The sequence below is a fragment of the Homo sapiens genome, chromosome 1 (assembly GCF_000001405.40).
Source record: "Homo sapiens chromosome 1, GRCh38.p14 Primary Assembly".
In the NCBI taxonomy this organism is placed as follows: Eukaryota; Metazoa; Chordata; class Mammalia; order Primates; family Hominidae; genus Homo; species Homo sapiens.
The window spans coordinates 246,106,248-246,125,309 of record NC_000001.11 but is presented as its reverse complement, the minus strand read 5'-3'; the positions used below and the strand labels follow the sequence as shown (position 1 = coordinate 246,125,309).

At 40.5% G+C, this 19,062-nt stretch overlaps 1 protein-coding gene and 1 long non-coding RNA gene across 15 annotated transcripts in view, besides 3 other annotated features; one reads left to right on the top strand and one right to left on the bottom strand.

The window, feature by feature from the left end:
- Nucleotides 1-19,062, top strand: part of SMYD3 (SET and MYND domain containing 3) — a 757,933-nt gene that overhangs the window by 381,970 nt on the left and 356,901 nt on the right. The window contains exon 1 of one of the 14 annotated variants that reach the window (XM_011544254.3): nucleotides 17,059-17,230. The exons of the other annotated variants lie outside the window; for them this stretch is intronic. Coding sequence (XP_011542556.1) covers nucleotides 17,126-17,230 — 105 coding nt within the window. The 5' untranslated portion in view covers nucleotides 17,059-17,125. Of the gene's footprint in view, nucleotides 1-17,058; nucleotides 17,231-19,062 lie in introns of those variants that run through there. 14 annotated transcript variants of the gene reach the window in all.
- SMYD3-AS1 (SMYD3 antisense RNA 1) lies at nucleotides 11,441-16,684 on the bottom strand. The gene is made up of 4 exons (NR_183265.1): nucleotides 16,593-16,684; nucleotides 15,417-15,528; nucleotides 13,781-13,979; nucleotides 11,441-11,621 (listed from the first exon to the last, which is right to left on the bottom strand). It is a non-coding gene; the product is annotated as an SMYD3 antisense RNA 1 (long non-coding RNA).
- Nucleotides 13,409-13,703: a silencer, noted in NCBI's record as "tiled region #4643; HepG2 Repressive non-DNase unmatched - State 23:Low". NCBI's record gives its function as "represses a minimal TATA promoter and a strong SV40 promoter by Sharpr-MPRA in HepG2 cells {active_cell/tissue: HepG2}" and the evidence as "EXISTENCE:reporter gene assay evidence [ECO:0000049][PMID:27701403]".
- Nucleotides 14,258-14,757: an enhancer, noted in NCBI's record as "H3K27ac hESC enhancer chr1:246273855-246274354 (GRCh37/hg19 assembly coordinates)". NCBI's record gives its function as "activates a minimal SCP1, AML or CMV promoter by ChIP-STARR-seq in primed H9 embryonic stem cells {active_cell/tissue: H9 hESC(primed)}" and the evidence as "EXISTENCE:reporter gene assay evidence [ECO:0000049][PMID:30033119]".
- Nucleotides 14,758-15,259: an enhancer, noted in NCBI's record as "H3K27ac hESC enhancer chr1:246273353-246273854 (GRCh37/hg19 assembly coordinates)". NCBI's record gives its function as "activates a minimal SCP1, AML or CMV promoter by ChIP-STARR-seq in primed H9 embryonic stem cells {active_cell/tissue: H9 hESC(primed)}" and the evidence as "EXISTENCE:reporter gene assay evidence [ECO:0000049][PMID:30033119]".

The window sequence follows — 19,062 nt, the reverse complement described above, 5'->3', positions numbered from 1 at the left end:
GATGAAAGTTATATTCTGATGACTTAAATAGTATTCATTATGCAGGGGTTTGTGAAGGGTATGGGATGCAGATTCAACTTCAATATATGAAGTACTAAGGAAGACTATTCACAGTGTTAAATATGCTGCCATCAACATCTTTACCAATGTAGTAAAGTTCCGTAATCATTGAGACATCATAACTCCATAAGGGAAATTCCAGATGTGTGTGTGTGTGTGTGTTTTTTTTTTTTTTTTTGAGACGGAGTCTCGCTCTGTCGCCCAGGCTGGAGTGCAGTGGCGCGATCTCGGCTCACTGCAAGCTCCGCCTCTCGGGTTCACACCATTCTCCTGCCTCAGCCTTCCCAGTAGCTGGGACTACAGGCGCCCGCCACCACGCCCGGCTAATTTTTTTTTGTATTTTTAGTAGAGATGGGGTTTCACCGTGGTCTCAATCTCCTGACCTCATGATCCGCCCAGATTTTGTTTTAAGTAGAAAAGATCACTCTATTACAGTGTCATGGGTGGCCTGGGGTGAGGCCTGTCCAGGCCTCTGTGTATGATCATCAGATACATTCTCAACCAAGATATATTCTAGCTGAAGCCATCACACCTGGTTATTTTCTGTCTTAAATTATGCTGCTTGTGTCCCTCTCCGGCCTTATGTCATCTGCCTTTTATTGTAGTCACTCTTTTACTCATTCATCTATCTCATTAGGTTGGAAAACTGAGGGACAGTCTTAGGCATTTTTTTGCACTTACATTGACTAGCTCAGTGTTTTGCACCTAATAGGTGATGGGTACATGTTAGGAAGTTGGCTCTATTCAAACCTCGCCTTCTTTGTGGACAGCATCTTTGGATTTTATGCAATTTAATTACCTTCAAAGACTTAGTGATTTGGTTGATAAAACCTTAAAAAAAACTCGTACAGCTGTAGTCTTTATTGCTGGAAGTAACTTTTCTTTCTTTCTTTCTTTCTTTTTTTATTCATTCATTCATTCATTTGGAACTTTTTAAATAGTCACTTTGGCCAACTCCACATTTTACAGACTGGGAAACAAACTAGAGAGGTTAAGTGACTTGCCTTAAATCCACAGCCAATTAGTGACAATACTGAGACTAGAACACAGGCTAAAGGTACTTTTTAAAGAGAGTGTTTATCACTTATTAAAACAGTTGCTTTTGCAATAATAGTGATAGGATAATTCATCATTAATTCAACACTTATTGACTTTGTTATACACAAAATATGGTTTAAGCATTGGCAGTGAGGTAAATACGAAGACAACATCTTTTGTGGAAAGGATCTTAAATGGAGAGATTTTAAAATAAAGAAAATGTGGTATATTCGTAGATATAGATATAGTGACAAGGATGACAGACATGACTTGTAAGAGGCGTTGATAGGAAGAAAGGCTGATGGCAGCAGATGCAGGACTAGTCCCATCTTTGGGTGCTAGGGTTGCCATTTCGTTAACGGTTCCTATGTAAAATTGTGCATTTCTCAGGGGAAAAAAAACACAAGAAAAATGGACAGTATGCATCCCTTTGTAATGTTTTAATTAGGCATTTTGGACTTAGCATACTGCCTTATGTAAAACAATACAAGCATGTAATACAATTTTAATAGCTTCAATTTTATTAGGGACAAAAATAAAAAGATGGAACCCAAGGACTGCCACCATTAGGAAAGTCAGTGCAGAATGATTTGTGTGTGTGTGTGTGTGTGTGTGTGTGTGTGTGTGTGTGTGTGTGTGTTTTGAGATGGAGTCTCACTCTGTCTCCCAGGCTGGAGATTGTAGTGGCGTGATCTTGGCTCACTGCAACCTCTGCCTCCCGGGTTCAAGCTATTCTCCTGCCTCAGCTGCCCGAGTAGCTGGGACTACAGGTGCCCACCACCATGCCCAGCTAATTTTTGTACTTTTAGTAGAGATGGGGTTTCACCATTGTTGGTCAGGATGGTCTCGATCTCTTGGCCTCATGATCTGCCCACCTCGGCCTCCCAAAGTGCTGGGATGACAGGCGTGAGCCACCATGCAGGGCCAATGCAGAATGATGTAGGCTGTTGCATCAGATGGCTCTTCCGTTTAGATTATCACCTGCTTGCACCTTGAAGTTCTCTTTAATTTTGGATTGCTTTGAACATATTCAGCTCATTTTTTGAAAGGTGTTCTGGCACTTCCAAATGTCAGATATCTGTGATTTTGAACTTTGTAATTGTTATTCAATTTTCAGTGAGAGAACAGGGTAAAAGAGGATAGTACATTGTAAAGGACAGTCTGTTATCTCCTCTTAATTTTTCTCTTTAGCTCTATAAGGTATTATAGAGAGTGTTTCACGGAAATCAAAGTAAAATCAAAAAACTCAAAGTATGTTTTCCCTTGACAGAAACTTCCTATGAAGAAGTTCTGTGATCCATAGATTTAAAATTGGCCTCTTTTGGGAGCCATTTGATTGGCCTGAAGTTAATCATGGCTACGCCCTTCATTGTGTTTTTCAGTGCAGATGTGAAATTAGTCCCGGAGAGCAGGGGCATGTTTGTTTGGTGTCCTTGGTTAGGACATCAGCTGAGTTCGGCCTGGTCACCATACACAATGTCATCTTACATTTGGTTACTGGGCAATCCAGAGTTCAATGAAAGTGTCCAGCTAAGAGTTAAATGAAACGTGTCCTTTAGTCAAATATGTGATTTGGTCTTTAATTAGTTGGTGCATTTTTGAAAATTACTTGGCAACTAGGGATATTTCATTAGCATGTAATGGGATTAATATTTAGTGAATCATTTTTGAAATACATGACAGATGTTCGGAGCCTTGGTAATTTGCCATATGGTAGCAAGTAGTAGTTTTCAGAATTCTTAGTTCTGTCATATACGAATACACCTTCATAAGGGTGTGTGACTCTGTGTTTGAGAAACAGCACTCTCTTTGTTGCTTAGGCTGGAGTGCAGTGGTGCGACCTTGGCTCTTGGCACACTGCAGCCTCAAACACCTGGGCTCAGGTGATCCTCCTGCCCCCGCCTCCTGAGTAGCTGGGACTACAAGTGTGCATCACCATTGCTGGCTAATTTTTTAAATTTTTTTGTAGAGATGGGATCTTGCCATGTTGCTCAGGCTAGTCTCAAACTCCTGGCCTCAAGAGATTCTCCTGCCTCTGCCTCCCAAAGTGCTGGGATTACAGGCATGAGCTACCTTTCCTGGCCCTGCATTCTTTATAAGTGTGTCTACTTATCTCCAAAGAATATTGGAGATTCTTTTTTTTTTTAATTAGTCTTTTCTTCCTGTTCATTCTGCAAGGGATATTTATATTTGAAATTTTGGAGAATGAGAGTTTTTCCTTTAAAATTGAACTATTTTTGAATACCACTCCAGAGGATGTAGGTGTTGTATTAACTGAAGTTTCATTCTGAACATGGAAAGTTTAATTATCTTGTGATATTTTATTTGATTAGAACTCTGTAGTAATCGCTTTGCTATATTGTGATGCTCTTGTCACAGATGATATGCCCGGTTTCTGTCATTAACGCTGCACTCTTTTCCCTATAATGACATCACTGATTACTCATTTTAGAACCAGTTTCCAGCATATGTTCTTCCTACTTCCTGCAACAGTCATTTTGTAGTTACTGGCCTGGAGGGTAAGTCTTTATCCTTCCATTAGACGGGTTCAGTATGAGCTGCTATTAATTTTAGGACATGAAAGAGAGATAATCAACACTGCTATTTCTCTGGGAATACACTGAAAATTAAATATGTAGACTAAAAACTACACTGTATCTTAAGTCAACTTCTGTTCATTTTAACAGACATTTAGATGAATTTTGGACTCTTTCATTTTTAAAAGATTACAGTTATAATGAACAATAATTAGGAAAGCTTTTTTTTTTTTTTTTTTTTTGCAAAATGGAAGGAATTTCAAAATTCATAGTAATGGTGAAAAGCAAAGAAAAAGAAATAACCCTAAACACAAAACAAAACAAGAAACATGAGAGAGGACCGACCATCAGTTAGCCATGATCTGACTCAGTCTGCAAGACAGGGAATAACTTCCAAATGGTTCTTTGTTGCTACACATTTACTGGGTGGCTTAAAAAAAATACTCATAGAGCAAGAGAAATTATGTATTAGGATAATGTCCTAGTAAAATATTACTTTTGTTTTGTCTTTATATCACAAAATATTTAAAGTTTAGTACATATTAGGGGCTAGAGATTGCAGACACAACATGATGTTCTGTCTTAAAAGCTGTATTCATGTTTTCTAATATTCTTAGACTGTATCCTTCTCAAAGCAAGAAATGTGTTTTATTCGTTTTTGTATCCCCACTGTAGCAACGTGGAATGAACATGAGATTAAAGAAAGCCATCCTTCATGTAGTCATTTTTGTCAACACTGAGAAAATACTGATTGAGCAGGTGGTGTAAGCCAGGCACAGTGCTTAGAGGTGGGGGTACCAGCTTGTGTGATACGTGCTCCCTGCCCTTCTGGATCTCACAGCCTAGCAGGGAAGACAGATGTGTACATAACTAACCCCAAATACATTCAGAGTGTCTGGAAACACACAGGAGGGATGGTTGGGTTGGAGATGATTTCACAGAATAAATCACATTCAAGTTTGGCTGGCCTGTGACCCATAATTTATAAATCAAAATATTGGCCATCTAGCCAATGTCATTATGAGCCACGCATTATGCCAAGTGCTGAAGATACAGAACTGGACACAACATACTCCCTGAACTCAAGAGCCCATTGATTTGTAGAAGACATATACAGATGTTTAGGAATCCAACAAGTAGAAACTGTGAATGGGATGCTGTGGAAGGAGGAGAAAGACTGAAGAGGAGAGCCTCAGTAGGGCCGGAGAAGAGAGGCCCAGCAAAAACTATACGGGAAGCGACCCTTGAGTTTAGGAAGGGGGACTAGGAATTTAGTAGGTCAGTAGAGGGTGGATTAAGGTCTGGTTTCAGGCAGTGAAACCCCTCATCTATGAAAATTTGGAGCATGATAAGTGATGGGGTTCCGGACATGCTACCCCAAAATATGGCATTAGAACAAACAGCAGAAGCAAGAAGGTCGCTCTTATCTTCTACTCATCCTTATCTCCTGAAGCAAGTTATAAATCCTTCATTCCAGAGGCATACTCTCTATACCTGGAGAAGAGACCATCCTTATCCTCAAAGGCAGAGAGATACCAAGAAGAATGTGAACAAACAGGCGTTGCTAAGTTTTCCCCAATTTATTACCATTAGATCATATTCCCATTGTCCAATCACACTTCCCCATAACTCTCTGGTCTTCGTCAGACCTAAGCATAAAAATAGACCAATTTCCCTGCTTCTTTGGGTCTTCATTTCTGAAGGCTCCTGGGTCACTTAAAACCTACATTAAAATAAATTTATATGCTTTTCTCTTGTCAATCTGTCTTTTGTTATAGGGATCTCAGCCACGAACTGATGGGTAAGAAAAGAAACATTTTCCTCTCCTACATAGAGACATAGAGAATAGAATTCTTAAGAAAAATAGTGTATGTCGTACATGGCAGGAGATGAAACTGGCGAGGCAGCAGGGCTTAGAACTTCTGGTAGGTGATAGAGAGTTGTTCAAGAGTGAGTGTTTTAGGCCAGGTGTGGTGGCTTATGCCTGTAATGGCAGCACTTTGGGAGGCAGAGGTGGATGGACCACCTGAGGTCAGGAGTTCGAGATCAGCCTGGCCAACATGGTGAAATCCCGTCTCTACTAACAATATAAAAATTAGCCAGGCATGGTGGCATATGCCTGTAGTCTCAGCTACTCAGGAGGCTGAGGCAGGAGAATCACTTGAACCCTGGAGGTGGAGGTTGCAGTGAGCAGAGATCATGCCCCTACACTCCAGCCTGGTCAGTAAAGTGAGATTCCATCTCAAAAAAAAAAAAAAAAAGAAAGAACAAAAAGAGTGAGTGTTTTAGTTACAGCTTGGACTTAGCTGCAAGACAGAGACCCAACTACAGTGGCAGAAAGATACAACAGTTTATACTCTCAAATAGGAGAAGTCTTGGCTGGGTGTGATGGCTCATGCCTGTAATCCCAGCACTTTAGGAGGCCAAGGTGGAAGGATAGCTTGAGGCCAGGAGTTTGAGACCAACTTCCAAAAATAAAAAAAAAATTTAGCCAAGCATGTTGGCATGCGTTTGTAGTCTTAGCTACTTGGAAAGCTGAGGCGAGAGGATGGCTTTAGCCCTGGATTTTGAGGCTGCAGTGAGCTATGATTGTGCTACTGCTCTCTAGCCTGGGCAACAGAGTGAGACCTTGTCTCTAAAAAAATAATAAAATTAAAAATAAAAATAAATGACGTCTAGAGGGAAGTATTCCAAGTCTAGAGAAGCATCTTTAGAAGGTCCTCAGATGTCAATCTTTCTTTTGGTTGTGCTGCACCTGACTTTCATCCTTAAGGTCCTGCACGGTTCAAGGTGGCTGCTGGAGCTCCAGCCATTACCCCTGCATTGAGAAAGAAAGGCAGAAGAGCCAAAAAAAAAAAAAAAGCACGTGCCTCATACCTTTTAAGTTTAAGTTCTGGTGAAGTTTCATACAACACTTCTCTTTAGCACACATTTTAAAAAAAAATTGGGAGTCTCAAGGAAGAAGGGAGAATGGGTATTTCAGACTAGCTGGCATTTTTCATCACCTGGAGGTGTCTCATCAGATGTTGATTTACAAAGATTTCCCTGGCAGAGGATGGAGGATTTGTTGGAAAGGGTATGAAACCAGCAGAAACGAACACGCCACAGTTTGTGCGTTTAATGTTTCCCATCGCTGACATTCTTGAGTAAGCGTCAGTGATGGTTCTAGCTTGAGGCATTTGGATCATTGGGGTGCAGGTGCACCATATTGCACATAATACCTGCACATGCAACTTCCTGATGGGATTTAATGGAGGCTTCTAGGGTGTCTCTAAGGGTCTTCGGTGCATTTGAGGTGAGGAATGGAGTTGAGTTCTGTCTTCCGTGATTTCAGTATTTGGTGCACTTTCTGCTTGGAAAAATCTCACCTGCTTTAAAAATATTTCCCACTCTTTGAATAACCTTAAAGGTATCATTTATGATGTTTTCTGCTTTGACTTTTTTGGCCTGACATTTGAGTTCTGGAAAAATAAACTAAAAGTCAGCTACTGTTTTTACCTTAAATTTATCCTTTAGTGTGTATTTAAAATAATTATTTGTGAAATTTTTTAGCACTTCAGGTTTATATACCTCGTTGCAGAGAATTTTGCTCAGTATATATTCTGAGCATTTTCGGAATCACTATTGTTTGTGTAGTCCCTTACCTTTAAAAGTTCATTATCAGCATTACACAGTTATTGGTCTTTGCCTCCTAGGACCTATACTGTTTGTACTATGTGTGATGATCGTGATATTGTAACTATTATCTCTTAAGTTCCTAGCAGAAAGAAATTCTGTCACAGAAAGAATATGTAATTTGACCAATGCAAAGAAATAATGTTATTCTACTGTTTTTCGGAAATGAAAGAACCAAGTTTTTAAAGTAGTTATGTTTTTACTATAAAAGATTCTTGGGTTGATAGGCACAGCAAACCACCATGGCACACGTTTACCTACGTAACAAACCTGCACATCCTGCACATGTACCCTGGAACTTGAAATAAAAAAGGTTCTTGAAGTTTCTGGCTGCCTGCATGACATAGTGGGTTTCTAAGTTGAAGGGAGAGAGAGAGAGTGCGCAAGAGCGAGCACTGGGGTCAGGAGTGGGAGGGAAACCTTACCTTGTCATTACTGAGTTTGTATAACCAGACACCTGGATCAGATTTCAGAAAGCACGTGAAATAATTTCAATTGTAATATGAAAATGCTTTTAAAAAATGAGATAATCAGTCATCCTGGATTTGTTTATTCTGCGAAACCTGGCTTCGAGAGGTATTTTTGGCATCTGGGTTGCCTGCCTACTGTGTTTTGTTGAAGCAGAAGGGGGCAGCAGAGAAACCAACTAGAAAGCCCACATCTGTGTTGGTTCCTTCTAACGGAAGGTGCTGTGCAATGTAAATACACTACAAGGAAATGAAAGTGGAAAGTCCTATCTTTTATTTATTAAATTCTAAAAATGATTGCAAAACATTTTCAGATAACATGATTCGGATTTCTACTTGTCCATTTATACAGATACTGCGAAGTGGATATATTTGTGTGTTTTGTTCTAAGATCTGACAAGCAAGTGTAGAGTGGATTATTTGTAATTCAGTACAGCTTTCAGTGGGGCTTGTTTTCCAGTAGACATTCTATGTGTTTATAGAAAAGCAGATGCTCTAGTGGGTTTTTGCAGTTCATTCTAATATTTATAATTTATCCACTGGAGTAAGAGTTTTTAAGGAAAACCATTTCATTTCTTGTTAAAATTCAGGGGAGTTAATGCCTTTTGACTGAATTTTGGTTTTGGAGTCAGTTAGCAGTCTAATTTTTTTGTTTTATTTTTAAAGTATTGCCTGTGAAAATTTTCCCGTTTGTTGAAAGGAACAAGGTTTAAGCTGACTGATTGGTTTCATGCCCTTAACCTTTGAAAATGTGGTAATTAATTAAAGCAATACTATTTTTCTGTAAATGATGGCCAAGTCATGTTGATGGGCCTGGCTAACTAGTTATATGTGCTATGTATGAAAGCTGTTCTATTTCTCATTAATATTCTATATTTCTTTTCCTGTGATTCAGGACAGTAAGATAGCATAGCTGAGGGCTTCTCACTGAAAACCTATCAGGTGTTTTGATGTATTCTATGTTTAAGATAATGGACAAGGTTTAGTGGTTAACAGGAAACTAGTGCCTCTTTTCACTGACTTACAAGTTAAAAGAAGGAGTCATTGAGTTATATGGTATCTTCCTCTGCAGGAGAGCCAGTGAAGATACAGCTGCAGTTCTGTTCCAAATCCATTATGTGTGTTTTATATTTTGATAAATTTAATCTGTTGACTTGTTTCAGCCCCATTTCATAAGATAAGCTGTGAAAGAAACCTCCTCAATGTGATTTACAAAGTGAGAAGTGAAGTGTTAGCTGTACTCTACTGGTTAGGATTTATAGCATGGTACAGTATTTAGCAGAATGTGTGTGTGTGTGTGTGTGTGTGTGTGTGTGTGTGTGTGTGTGTGTCCATCTCAGGGTGCTTGAGGTATAGGATTACAGTTAATTCTTTTTTTCTTTTTTTCTTTTTTAGACAGAGTTTCGCCCTTGTCGCCCAGGCTGGAGCGCAGTGGTATGATCTCGGCTCACTGCAACCTCTGCCTCCCAGGTTCAAGCAATTCTTGTACCTCAGCCTCCCAAGTAGCTTGGGATTACAGGCATGTGCCACCACGCCCAGCTAATTTTTGTATTTTTAGTAGAGATGGGGTTTCACCATGTTGGCCAGGCTGATCTCGAACTCCTGACCTCAGGTGATCTGCCCGCCTTGGCCTCCGGAAGTGCTGGGATTACAGGTGTGAGCCACTACGCCCAGCCATGATTACAATTAATTCTTATTGAAAGTACTCAGTGGCTCATCTATTATCTCTTTCCAGTGCTAGTCATCTCATTCTCTCTCTGTATGGTAGTTGTTATTTGATGAGCACTAGTTGTATAAAAGTAATATGTCTGATTTCTTCAAGAAATGTTTTTCTTTTCTGTCATCAGTGACCTCATCTATGACACTGGGGACAACTGTCCAGTGAAAATGCACTGCCGTCCAGTGAAACCATGCTGCTTTTTCCCTGCACGTGTATTTGTCCTCTTGAAGCTGCGACTTTTGACTGAATGCCAGATGTTGTTATTTTATCTTTTTGGGTACTAGCTATTTTTGTATCCCTCAAATTATTCTTGAGCTTTTTTTCCCCCTGTAACACAGTGAAGTTATTTGGAAACAGTTTTATTTAGTGTGTGTAGGGGAAGGGGTCTTGCTTTTAATCTTTCTTAGGTGGGACCAGAGCAGTATTTAGTGTAGGGCAAGTCACTGAGGCAAGGCTCTTTGGGTCTTCTATTCAATACCCCTTGAACCTTGAGGTTTTCTACTCTGGTTGATGGGAGCAGGCAGTATTCGTGGTCTTATTTGAGCACCTGCTACTGTTACCTCTAACTCTTTCAGCTGGTCCTGTCCCAGCTTCAGGCAGTATGTTCATGTGCATGGGCTGATTAGTACTCCGTGGAATATTTAAGGCTGACCTTCTGCAGATTTGTTGATTTCTCTCCCTGTACACTTCTTTCCTCTCTGGTATTCTGTCCTGTAAACTCTAGCCTTTTTTGGTCTCCCTATACTCTCAACTTTGTCACCTTAACTCAGGGCCTCCTTCAGGCTCCGCCTGGCTTCTACTTGTTGTGAGCGTGACTGGCTAAGGCTGGCTTCACGGGAAGTAAATAATTTACTGAAACAGGTGCGAGTTAAAACCAAGTTTAGGCCGGGTGCGGAGGCTCACGCCTGTAATCCTAGTACTTTGGGAGGCCGAGGTGGGCAGATCACGAGGTCAAGAGATCGAGACCAGCCTGGCCAACATGGTGAAACCCCGTCTCTACTAAAAATACAAAAATGAGCCGGGCGTGGTGGCGGGCGCCTGTAATCCCAAGCTCCTCGGGAAACGGAGGCACAAGATTTGCTTGAACCTGGTAGGCAGAGGTTGCAGTGAGCCGAGATCACACCACAGCACTCCAGCCTGGCGACAGAGTGAAACTTCATCTCGAAACAACAACAACAAAAACGAGAACAAGTTTATTAGCGGGAAGCAATGGCCGGCACAGCAGAGAAGAGGCTGTCTGCCAAGAGGCAGGGGCTGAAAGGAAGTTTTCTAGGGCCATGCTGGAGGGGTTATGTGCAGAGAGGATTGTGCTGCTGGGGTATATGCAGAGCAAGGTATTTGGGAACAGGATGTTGTACAAGCAGGTTGTTTGTGATTAGCTGTCTCTCAGAACAATTGTTCTCCCCCATCGGGGGCTGGCCTCTTCCTTGTTGGTGCTAACTTACCTTGTCAGGACTCCACACCACCTACCTTCATTGTGGTCTGGAAGCTTTCTTAATAAATTGGGGCAGTCCTTTTGTTTATTTCCCAGTCTCTCAGTGATTGCTGCCTTTGTTCAGTATCATGAAAAACCACTGGATGTTGGTGTTACACATGGATGGGAAGGTAAATCCAATTTCCATGATTACATCCTGGCTGGACACGGAAATGTCTCTCTATAAATTCTTAAAACTGTCCCCTGTCAGAGCCCATCTGAAATTAGTGCTTTTCTCTCCTCCTGATAATGGGGTTCTATTAGTGCTGAAAATCTAAGTTGTAGGCTTCACTATGAAAAACTGCACAGCCTCCCCAAGAAATATCATCACCAGTCTGCCTGGTGGTCTTCTCTTTCTTTCGCGGATTCCTAAATAGGTTTACAGGGAGTGCTGAGAGGATCGTCACACTTAGGCCTACTGAGGGTGACTCGGCACAGAATGGGAAGTCTGCAGAAGAGTAGAGTGAGGTGGTCATTTCTCAGCAGATATGTTTATTGTTACCCACACTCTTTTTCTAAAAGATTCGAGGAGTATGAGATATTTATGTATTTATTTCTGAAGTCTGCCTGTGTTCCAGTCATGACCATTCAGATGCTGAGATACAGGATAAGCAGGAAGCAGATGTTTCTGTCCACAGGAACCTCCCTGTCTGTGGGAGAAACAAATGCTGTGTAAATAGAAAGTGATAATACGACGTGATAAACTACGGCTTTCCCATTCAAGGACTTTAGAAGATACTCTCTTTTCCTCCTTGTACCATTTTAACAAAAGCAGCACAGCACTATACCGATGCCTTTTTATACTTTGCGTTACTTGGTGAAAATGAAGTTCTCTATTTTATCTGTCAGCAAACATCTAAGAGCAAAAATTATTTGAAACCTTTGTTCTTACCAAGACTAACTTTATCTTCATGTGGCACATTTTAGTAATTTACCTAGTTTGTAGCCATCTAACTAGAATTTGCTGATTGTTTATGTATTTCTTCAGATTGCTGATAGATTTTATTCTAATAAGCGAAAAGCAATTCTAAGCCTTGATCCTTAAAAGGTATATTTCCCTTGGCAGCAATTCTAGTGGAAACAATGGGTAGTCTCTTTTTATTAAATTTTATTTATTTATTTATTTATTTATTTATTTATTTATTTATTTATTTTTTGAGACAGAGTCTTACTCTGTTGCCCAGGCTGGAGGGCAGTGGCGTGATCTCGGCTCACTGCAAGCTCCGCCTCCTGGGTTCAAGCGATTCTCCTGCCTCAGCCTCCTGAGTATCTGAGATTACAGGCTCATACCACCACACCTGGCTAACTTTTTTGTATTTTTAGTAGAGTTGGGGTTTCACCATGTTGGCCAGGCTGGTCTCGAACTCCTGGCCTCATGATCCGCCTGCCACAGCCTCCCAAAGTGCTGGGATTACAGGCGTGAGCCACTGTGCCCCGCCTAAATTTATTCTATTTGTATGAAATAACTCTAAAAATTTGGTCTTCATTAGTGTTTTTACTTATACTTCAAGATGCTGAATTATTTCTGTGTAAATATATTGGCATTTCTGTTCTATAAGACAGCATTAAATGAAATAGTTTCGTTTCTTTTCCAAGTATATTTTTAAAAGTACATTAGTGTAGCCTATTTTTTATTTTTTTGCTTTGTCTTTTGATAGTGAAACAAAATACTACTATTCTAAGCTTGGGTTTTCAAAATACACATTATTCACGGTGTAAATTCTGCAGTAGCCTTGTATTGTAGCATATGAAGGAGGAAAAATTGGATCCATTTAGCTCTGATCCCTTTTTTGTTAGCAATTTATGTGTATAACCAACAGATTTCTCCTTAAGAAAACCTCATTATTAAGCTAACTTAGGGAAATTTAGTAAAGAAATGATTTGGAGGAAAGCAAATAAAGTAATCCAAATATACAATAATTATACCAAAATTTTAACATCGATTTATAAGAATATCTTACCACTTTTAAATTTCTTCCAAAATTGACAGATACTGATTTTTTTCATTAACTGTCAGTGGAAATCCTATGGGAGACAGCTCAAATTTTGACAGCTTCAAGAAAATGGATGGCTTCTCCTTCTGTGTGGTAATTGATCTTACCTTTTGAAGAATTAGCTCATAAGTATAGATTTGGAGAGAGTTACAATATGCAATACAGCCTTCCTCTTTTGAAAATAAGTCAGTCATTCTGTGAACTGAAGACTTCAGCATGAAGAAGGTTGCTCTGAAGGGCAGAGTATATAATATTATTTGGTTGCGACTTTTGCTAGCTTGGTGGCTCTTGAGAAATCTTTAGTGAACTTGCCAGTTTCATGTTTGTAGGGGGTATGCATCTATCCAGGATAATCATCCCCCATTGAAAAACTAACCTTTTCAAGGTTAAGTATAATGTGAAACAAATAATATTGCTCCAGAATGAATTTCTGTGCAGTTTGTATGAATTAACAGCTGGCTAATAAGAAGCTCTTGAAGTCTATCATAAGCAAGGTCTTGTATTAGCCATAGACTGAGCAGACCTATTGCTGCCTCTACCGTTTACCTCACATGGTGAAGTAGTCTGGGAAAAAGCAGTGTCACTGTTCCACTCCAGATAGCTGTCATTATGGTATTACATAAACTAGCAGACTGCTGTGGGACGCAAAGGGGATGTGCACCGTTTTGGTTATTTGAGGGGACTTTGGCATGCCCTTGTAGGAGCCCAGAAGGAAGGATCATACAGTTTAGTCTTAAGCTGTGCAAAAACATGACCACATGAATGAAACCAGTCTTCCTGAGGCCAGAGGGCTTATAAAGAGGAAAGATACACACCTTGAGTAGACTTCTTTTTGAGCAAGGATATCCAGAAGTAGAGTGTTAAGGCAAAGCAAAAGATTCTTTAGACTGCACTCAAGTCTGTCTTTATAGGCATTTCTTGCTTGTGTAGCATGGAAAGGACCACTGCTTGCTCAGTGTGGCTTTTTTTTCTGCTATGCTGGACCATGTAAGTAGCCATTGAGATAATTTATTCCTGAGTCAAAATAAGAGGGCATTAAATTTAGTAGAACTGAAGTTGGCACTGGCTAGACTGATTACTATGATGGGATCCCTTGGAGAGCATCACTGGTGAAAGCACCTGGATTCTATTTAGAAAAACTTAAGTATGTAAGTTGCCTTCTTTGGGGGATGAAACTTATAATGAACTATTGTAGAGGGTATGAAAGCCCACGGCATGTTTCTATCATATACTATATATATATATGCTATACTAAGATGTTATGCATGGGTCAGGGTCCTTGGTAAGGCTCACCTGTCATTTCTTATGTAGTTTATATTTGTTTCTCTTTGCGCAAGGATTTGGTGAGTTATCTTATGGACAATGAAAGGAGAAATGTCCTAATGCAGAGTTCGCTCCTAAGTTTAAATGAGAAATATCTAAAATCCTAAACCATGAACATGGTTCATGGTTTAGAACCCTTAAAATGGAATTACAGTACTTTTAAATTGGTAGGTGTAAGGAACATGGCTGCACTGCAGCCAGGCAGGATGGGCTGAGGTAAACATCCCGGGTGACTCAGCAAGTCTGTAGCGCAGGCGCGCAACTCCATGTGTAATATAAACAGCTATGTAGCCATAACATGGGAGGGCCATCACTTGGCTCTTTGCCACTGTTGTCTTTAAAAGGTATAATTGCCCTGGTGACACTGTGCAGGCGTGCTTGCACCCAAAGAAAGAGAGAGAGCACCAGATCTGTCTGTCTTGCAGCGGGGAGCCAGGACACAGCTCAGCTTGCTTGCGCTCAGAGGGAAAGAGTTAAGCTGTTGACCCCAAAGGGAGAGAGAGCCAGCAGAGATCTGTGCTTGGGAGTGGCTGGAACAAGCAGCCGAGACACACAGTGTAAGAGAGCTGCTGAATAAAATTGTATTTCACCTACCCGTAGCCCCCTGAGTGTTCTTTCAGCTGTCTGCCATTCATCTACCCACTCCCTTCCGGCCTCAGCATGGGCTGGAACCTGACCCTGGACCTAACAATGGGGATCTTAGGGACTTAAGAGATCATCTAAATGAACTCTTTACAGATGAAGAGACTGAATCCCCAATGGTTAAATGACTTGTCTAAGTCCACACATCTAGTTAGACGCTGAGCCAAGACAGAACCTGATTTCTGGTTTCTAGATGTGCACCCCTTACTCAGTGGCATGTACTGTAATTCACAGTTTCCATTCACTTGTTGCCAAGGTCTGCCACTTCCGAGAGTTTCACAGTTTTGGTGTAAGTGTACATTGCCAAATGAGAAATAGCTTGGAAATATAACTGAAGAGACATTATCTGTTGTGACTGCAGCTGAAGCACCAACTTTTAACCAGTATTAGCACTGCTTATTTCAGCTCCTATCCTTATCTCAAATAATTCTGCCTTCCTATAACACATGATGGGGACCCCTGGGAGCCGCCAAAAAGGACACTTACTCTGAGGTCTTGCCCAGGTCTCTGCTTCTTCCTCCTTGTTCCCAGATGGCAAACGGACATCCTCATAGTAAGACTGGGCTGCTTTCCACCTGCGCAGCCCCATGGTAAGCACCTGCAGCTCCAGAGGGAATTTATTTTAGTAAAACAAACAAACCTGGAGACCAGGAGATCAATTATCAGTAGTTTGGTAATAATTGAAAACTAGGTCAGAGGCTTCTATTCCTTTTTCCATGAGAGCTGGATATGTGAGGTTGTTCTTGATGAAAGCTGAATTTTTAAATGCAGGTTAATGGCTTTCTTGGAAGCCAGCAAGCAATTAAGGTTTTCTCATCCATGCAGAAATTACAGCTGCAGGGGGCAATTTTTAAAAATTCCTTTGGATTCTTAGAACATACTATATTTATTTATTTTCCCTTAAATTCTGACCTTAAGCTTAAAAATAAGTTTGTTAATACTAACGTTGTTTTCCCTTGAGCTAGCTTTGAACCTCAAATGAATTGCAAACTGCGAAGTGACTGCTGTAGGGCTACTCTTCAGTAAGCTGGTCCAGTTATATGGTAATGAATCCATTTATAAAAAAAATTGTATGTGAGCTGTTTCCAAGGCTATTATAGTATTTCTTTATCAGACTATACATAATTTTACGTTTGTAACATGGTACAGTTCCAACTGAATAGGCAGTAATTTTCTTTATTAGAGTTGCATTTTAGAGTGGTTCATTCATCAGATTTTTATCAAATATATTCTTCGTGTCATTCATTGTGATAGGTTCTGGAATATGATTAAGAAATGGTCCCTGAACTCCAGGGGCTCACAGTCTAGGAAGAAAAAAGACAAATAAAATTATACCAATATAATGAATGCAGTTCCATGGCATATGAAGAGTGTTATAGAAACACAGAGCAAAGATGTAACCCTACCTAGTGTCAAAGAAGACTACACAGAAGATGGTGCATTAGAAGGAAGAGAAAGAATTGGCTGCACCAACAGGAGGAGGGGAAAGGACCTTCTGAGAAAGAGAAGAGTGTGTGCAAAGCAGTGGAGGCCTCAGGGAGGATGGTGGTCTGCTAATACTGAGTTTAGTGTGGTTGTCTTTGTCTTACGTTGCTTGCAGGGAATAAAGCTAGTATTTGCTTTGCTAGCTGGACTGAGCTGGGCTATACTAAGTTGTCTGACCTTTATCCCGTACACAACAGGAACTACAGGAGGTTTTCAAGAAAGGGAGTGAAGTCAGATTCATAGTTGAGAAAAACATTCTAGTAACTAAGTGGTGAATAGAATGAAGAATGGGAGCACTGATTGGAAAGCATTTATAATAGACGGTGGAGGGCAAGTTTTAGGAAGCAGGCAGTGATTGTGATGTCAGAATCAATTTGTATGATATTTAAATAGTCCACCCGGAACTCAGTAAAGCAAAGATTGTTGAAGAGGGTGAGCTTGAGAGACTGGATGGATGTTGATAACATTAATTGTGTGAGGGTGTGATCTCTTTGCTGAGATTTTAAGTACGGTAATTTTCTGATGTGATACCTGTATTCATAGCGTAACCTGTGACCCTATTTGGATAGCCCTTATGCCTCTGTATTATGATTGTCAGTCACTTCCCTGAACTATAAACTTCTTGAGGTCAGAGATAAGTTTTAGTGGTTCTTGTTCCACAGCCTCTGACACAGGGCTTAGTTATGTAATAGGTGCTTGGTAGATTTTGGATGTTTAGACGTGGATGCATCAGCCATCTACTTAAGAATTCCTCTTTCGAATTCTTCCTTTGCACAAGAAGACCTTTGTTTCTTAACCCAAAGAAGACGAGCTCTGTAAGTCCGTTATAATTTTCATTTTATGGCCAAGTTTCTCTGGACTTTCATTTTCCAGAAACTACCTATCTTAGATTTTGCTCTTTCCTTAGTGACAACTCAGTAAAGTTCCTATTGTTCAGAGATTACATGATGAAGTAGATATATACATGTGTGTTTTTTCTTCTTTAAGTTTGGCTATTTGAACCTGTGGCTCTGTGGTGTAAACAGTAATTCCTTTCCAGATTTATTTATTTGGAAGTTTTTGGGTCTTTAAAAATTACTCCTGTGTTTCTGGTCTTGAGTTAAATCCACTTATAATTGCCCTAGGGGTTCCCATGGCATCAGCACAGCTGGAGGTCTGGTGGGCTTTTGTAAATGGCATTTGGAAGAGTGATTCATTTGCCAAAGCATTAGCAATCTTTTGTATTGTTTCCATGTGGTTTTTGTCTAAAGAGACAAGTGCTGGGATTTTATTTATTTAATAAACTTTGTTTGAATGAGCTAATTTCCCCACTGTCCAGAATTACTAAGGGAAGACCTGAGCATTTATTTCAAGGACTTATTCTATCCATTCCTTGCTTCAGTGGGGAGCAGTCACTTCTGTAGCCACCAACTACCTGATAGTCTAGTCTTTTCTGTGATTAAATTATAAAAATAATCTCTTTGTGAACTTGTCTGCTTTTGGTATAAGGTCGCATATTTAAAGAGCAATCTGTGATGAGATATGTTGGCTTCATTTTCTGTTTGTTTTCTAAAGAAAGGAAAAATAGATACATTTCCATTTCAAAATTCTTTTTTTTTTTCTTTTTTTGCGATGGAATCTTGCTCTGTCACCCAGGCTGGAGTGCAGTGGCGCAATCTCGGCTCACTGCAAGCTCCGCCTCCCAGGTTCACACCATTCTCCTGCCTCAACCTCCCGAGTAGCTGGGACTACAGGCGCCTGCCACCACGCCTGGCTAATTTTTTGTATTTTTAGTAGAGACGGGGTTTCACCGTGGTCTCGATCTCCTGACCTTGTGATCCGCCCGCCTCAGCCTCCCAAAGTGCTGGGATTACAGGCGTGAGCCACCGTGCCCGGCCTTCAAAATTCTTTTTAAGAGCCTATTATATGCCCAACTCTTGTATTACTTTCTCTTTTTTCACGTTCACACCAACCCTACTTGAGAGCTGTTTTTCTCCTCACTTTGCTGTTGAGAACAGTGTTTCGGAGAGTTTAAGGAATCTATACAAGTCCCTTAGTAGTTCATATCAGAGGTTGTTTTACACCCAGGTTTTCTGTCATAAGACAGAAGCTTTGAAACTGCCTCCATTGTCCCCATGGCTCCACATAGGCCAGAGGGCTTCCAGATGCTGATAACATTGATGAAGAGGGAAGGTCAGAGACTAGACCTCAGTTGGAAGCTGTGGCAGTTGTGCTGTGAAAACCCACCAGAGGGAAGAGACGTTTCAATTCTTCTTTCATAACCACGGAAATCCTAAGTGACTTGTGGCACCTCGGTATATTAGGACTTCTCATTTCAGAAAGTTAATGGTCTTCTCTCCTCTCTGTCAGTGTGATGTATGTAACCACTGATTAGCTGACTCATTTGTTCAGTTGGCAGATACAGAGGCGATCAGTTTACTCGCCTTGCTGTTTAAAAATCATGATAATTTTGCACTCCCTTTGAGAAATGGGTAAGTTCAGAAATCAGTTTTGGGACTATCTTTATTTAACTAAGGCATAAGTGACTGCACCTTCAGCAAATTTAATTCCTGGCTTCAGACTGCAGTAATCTTAAATGAGACATTTTGTTGTATGCTTATAACCTCAGGGATTTTATCTGCTGCCGTCGTGGTCTTTTGAGGAGGAT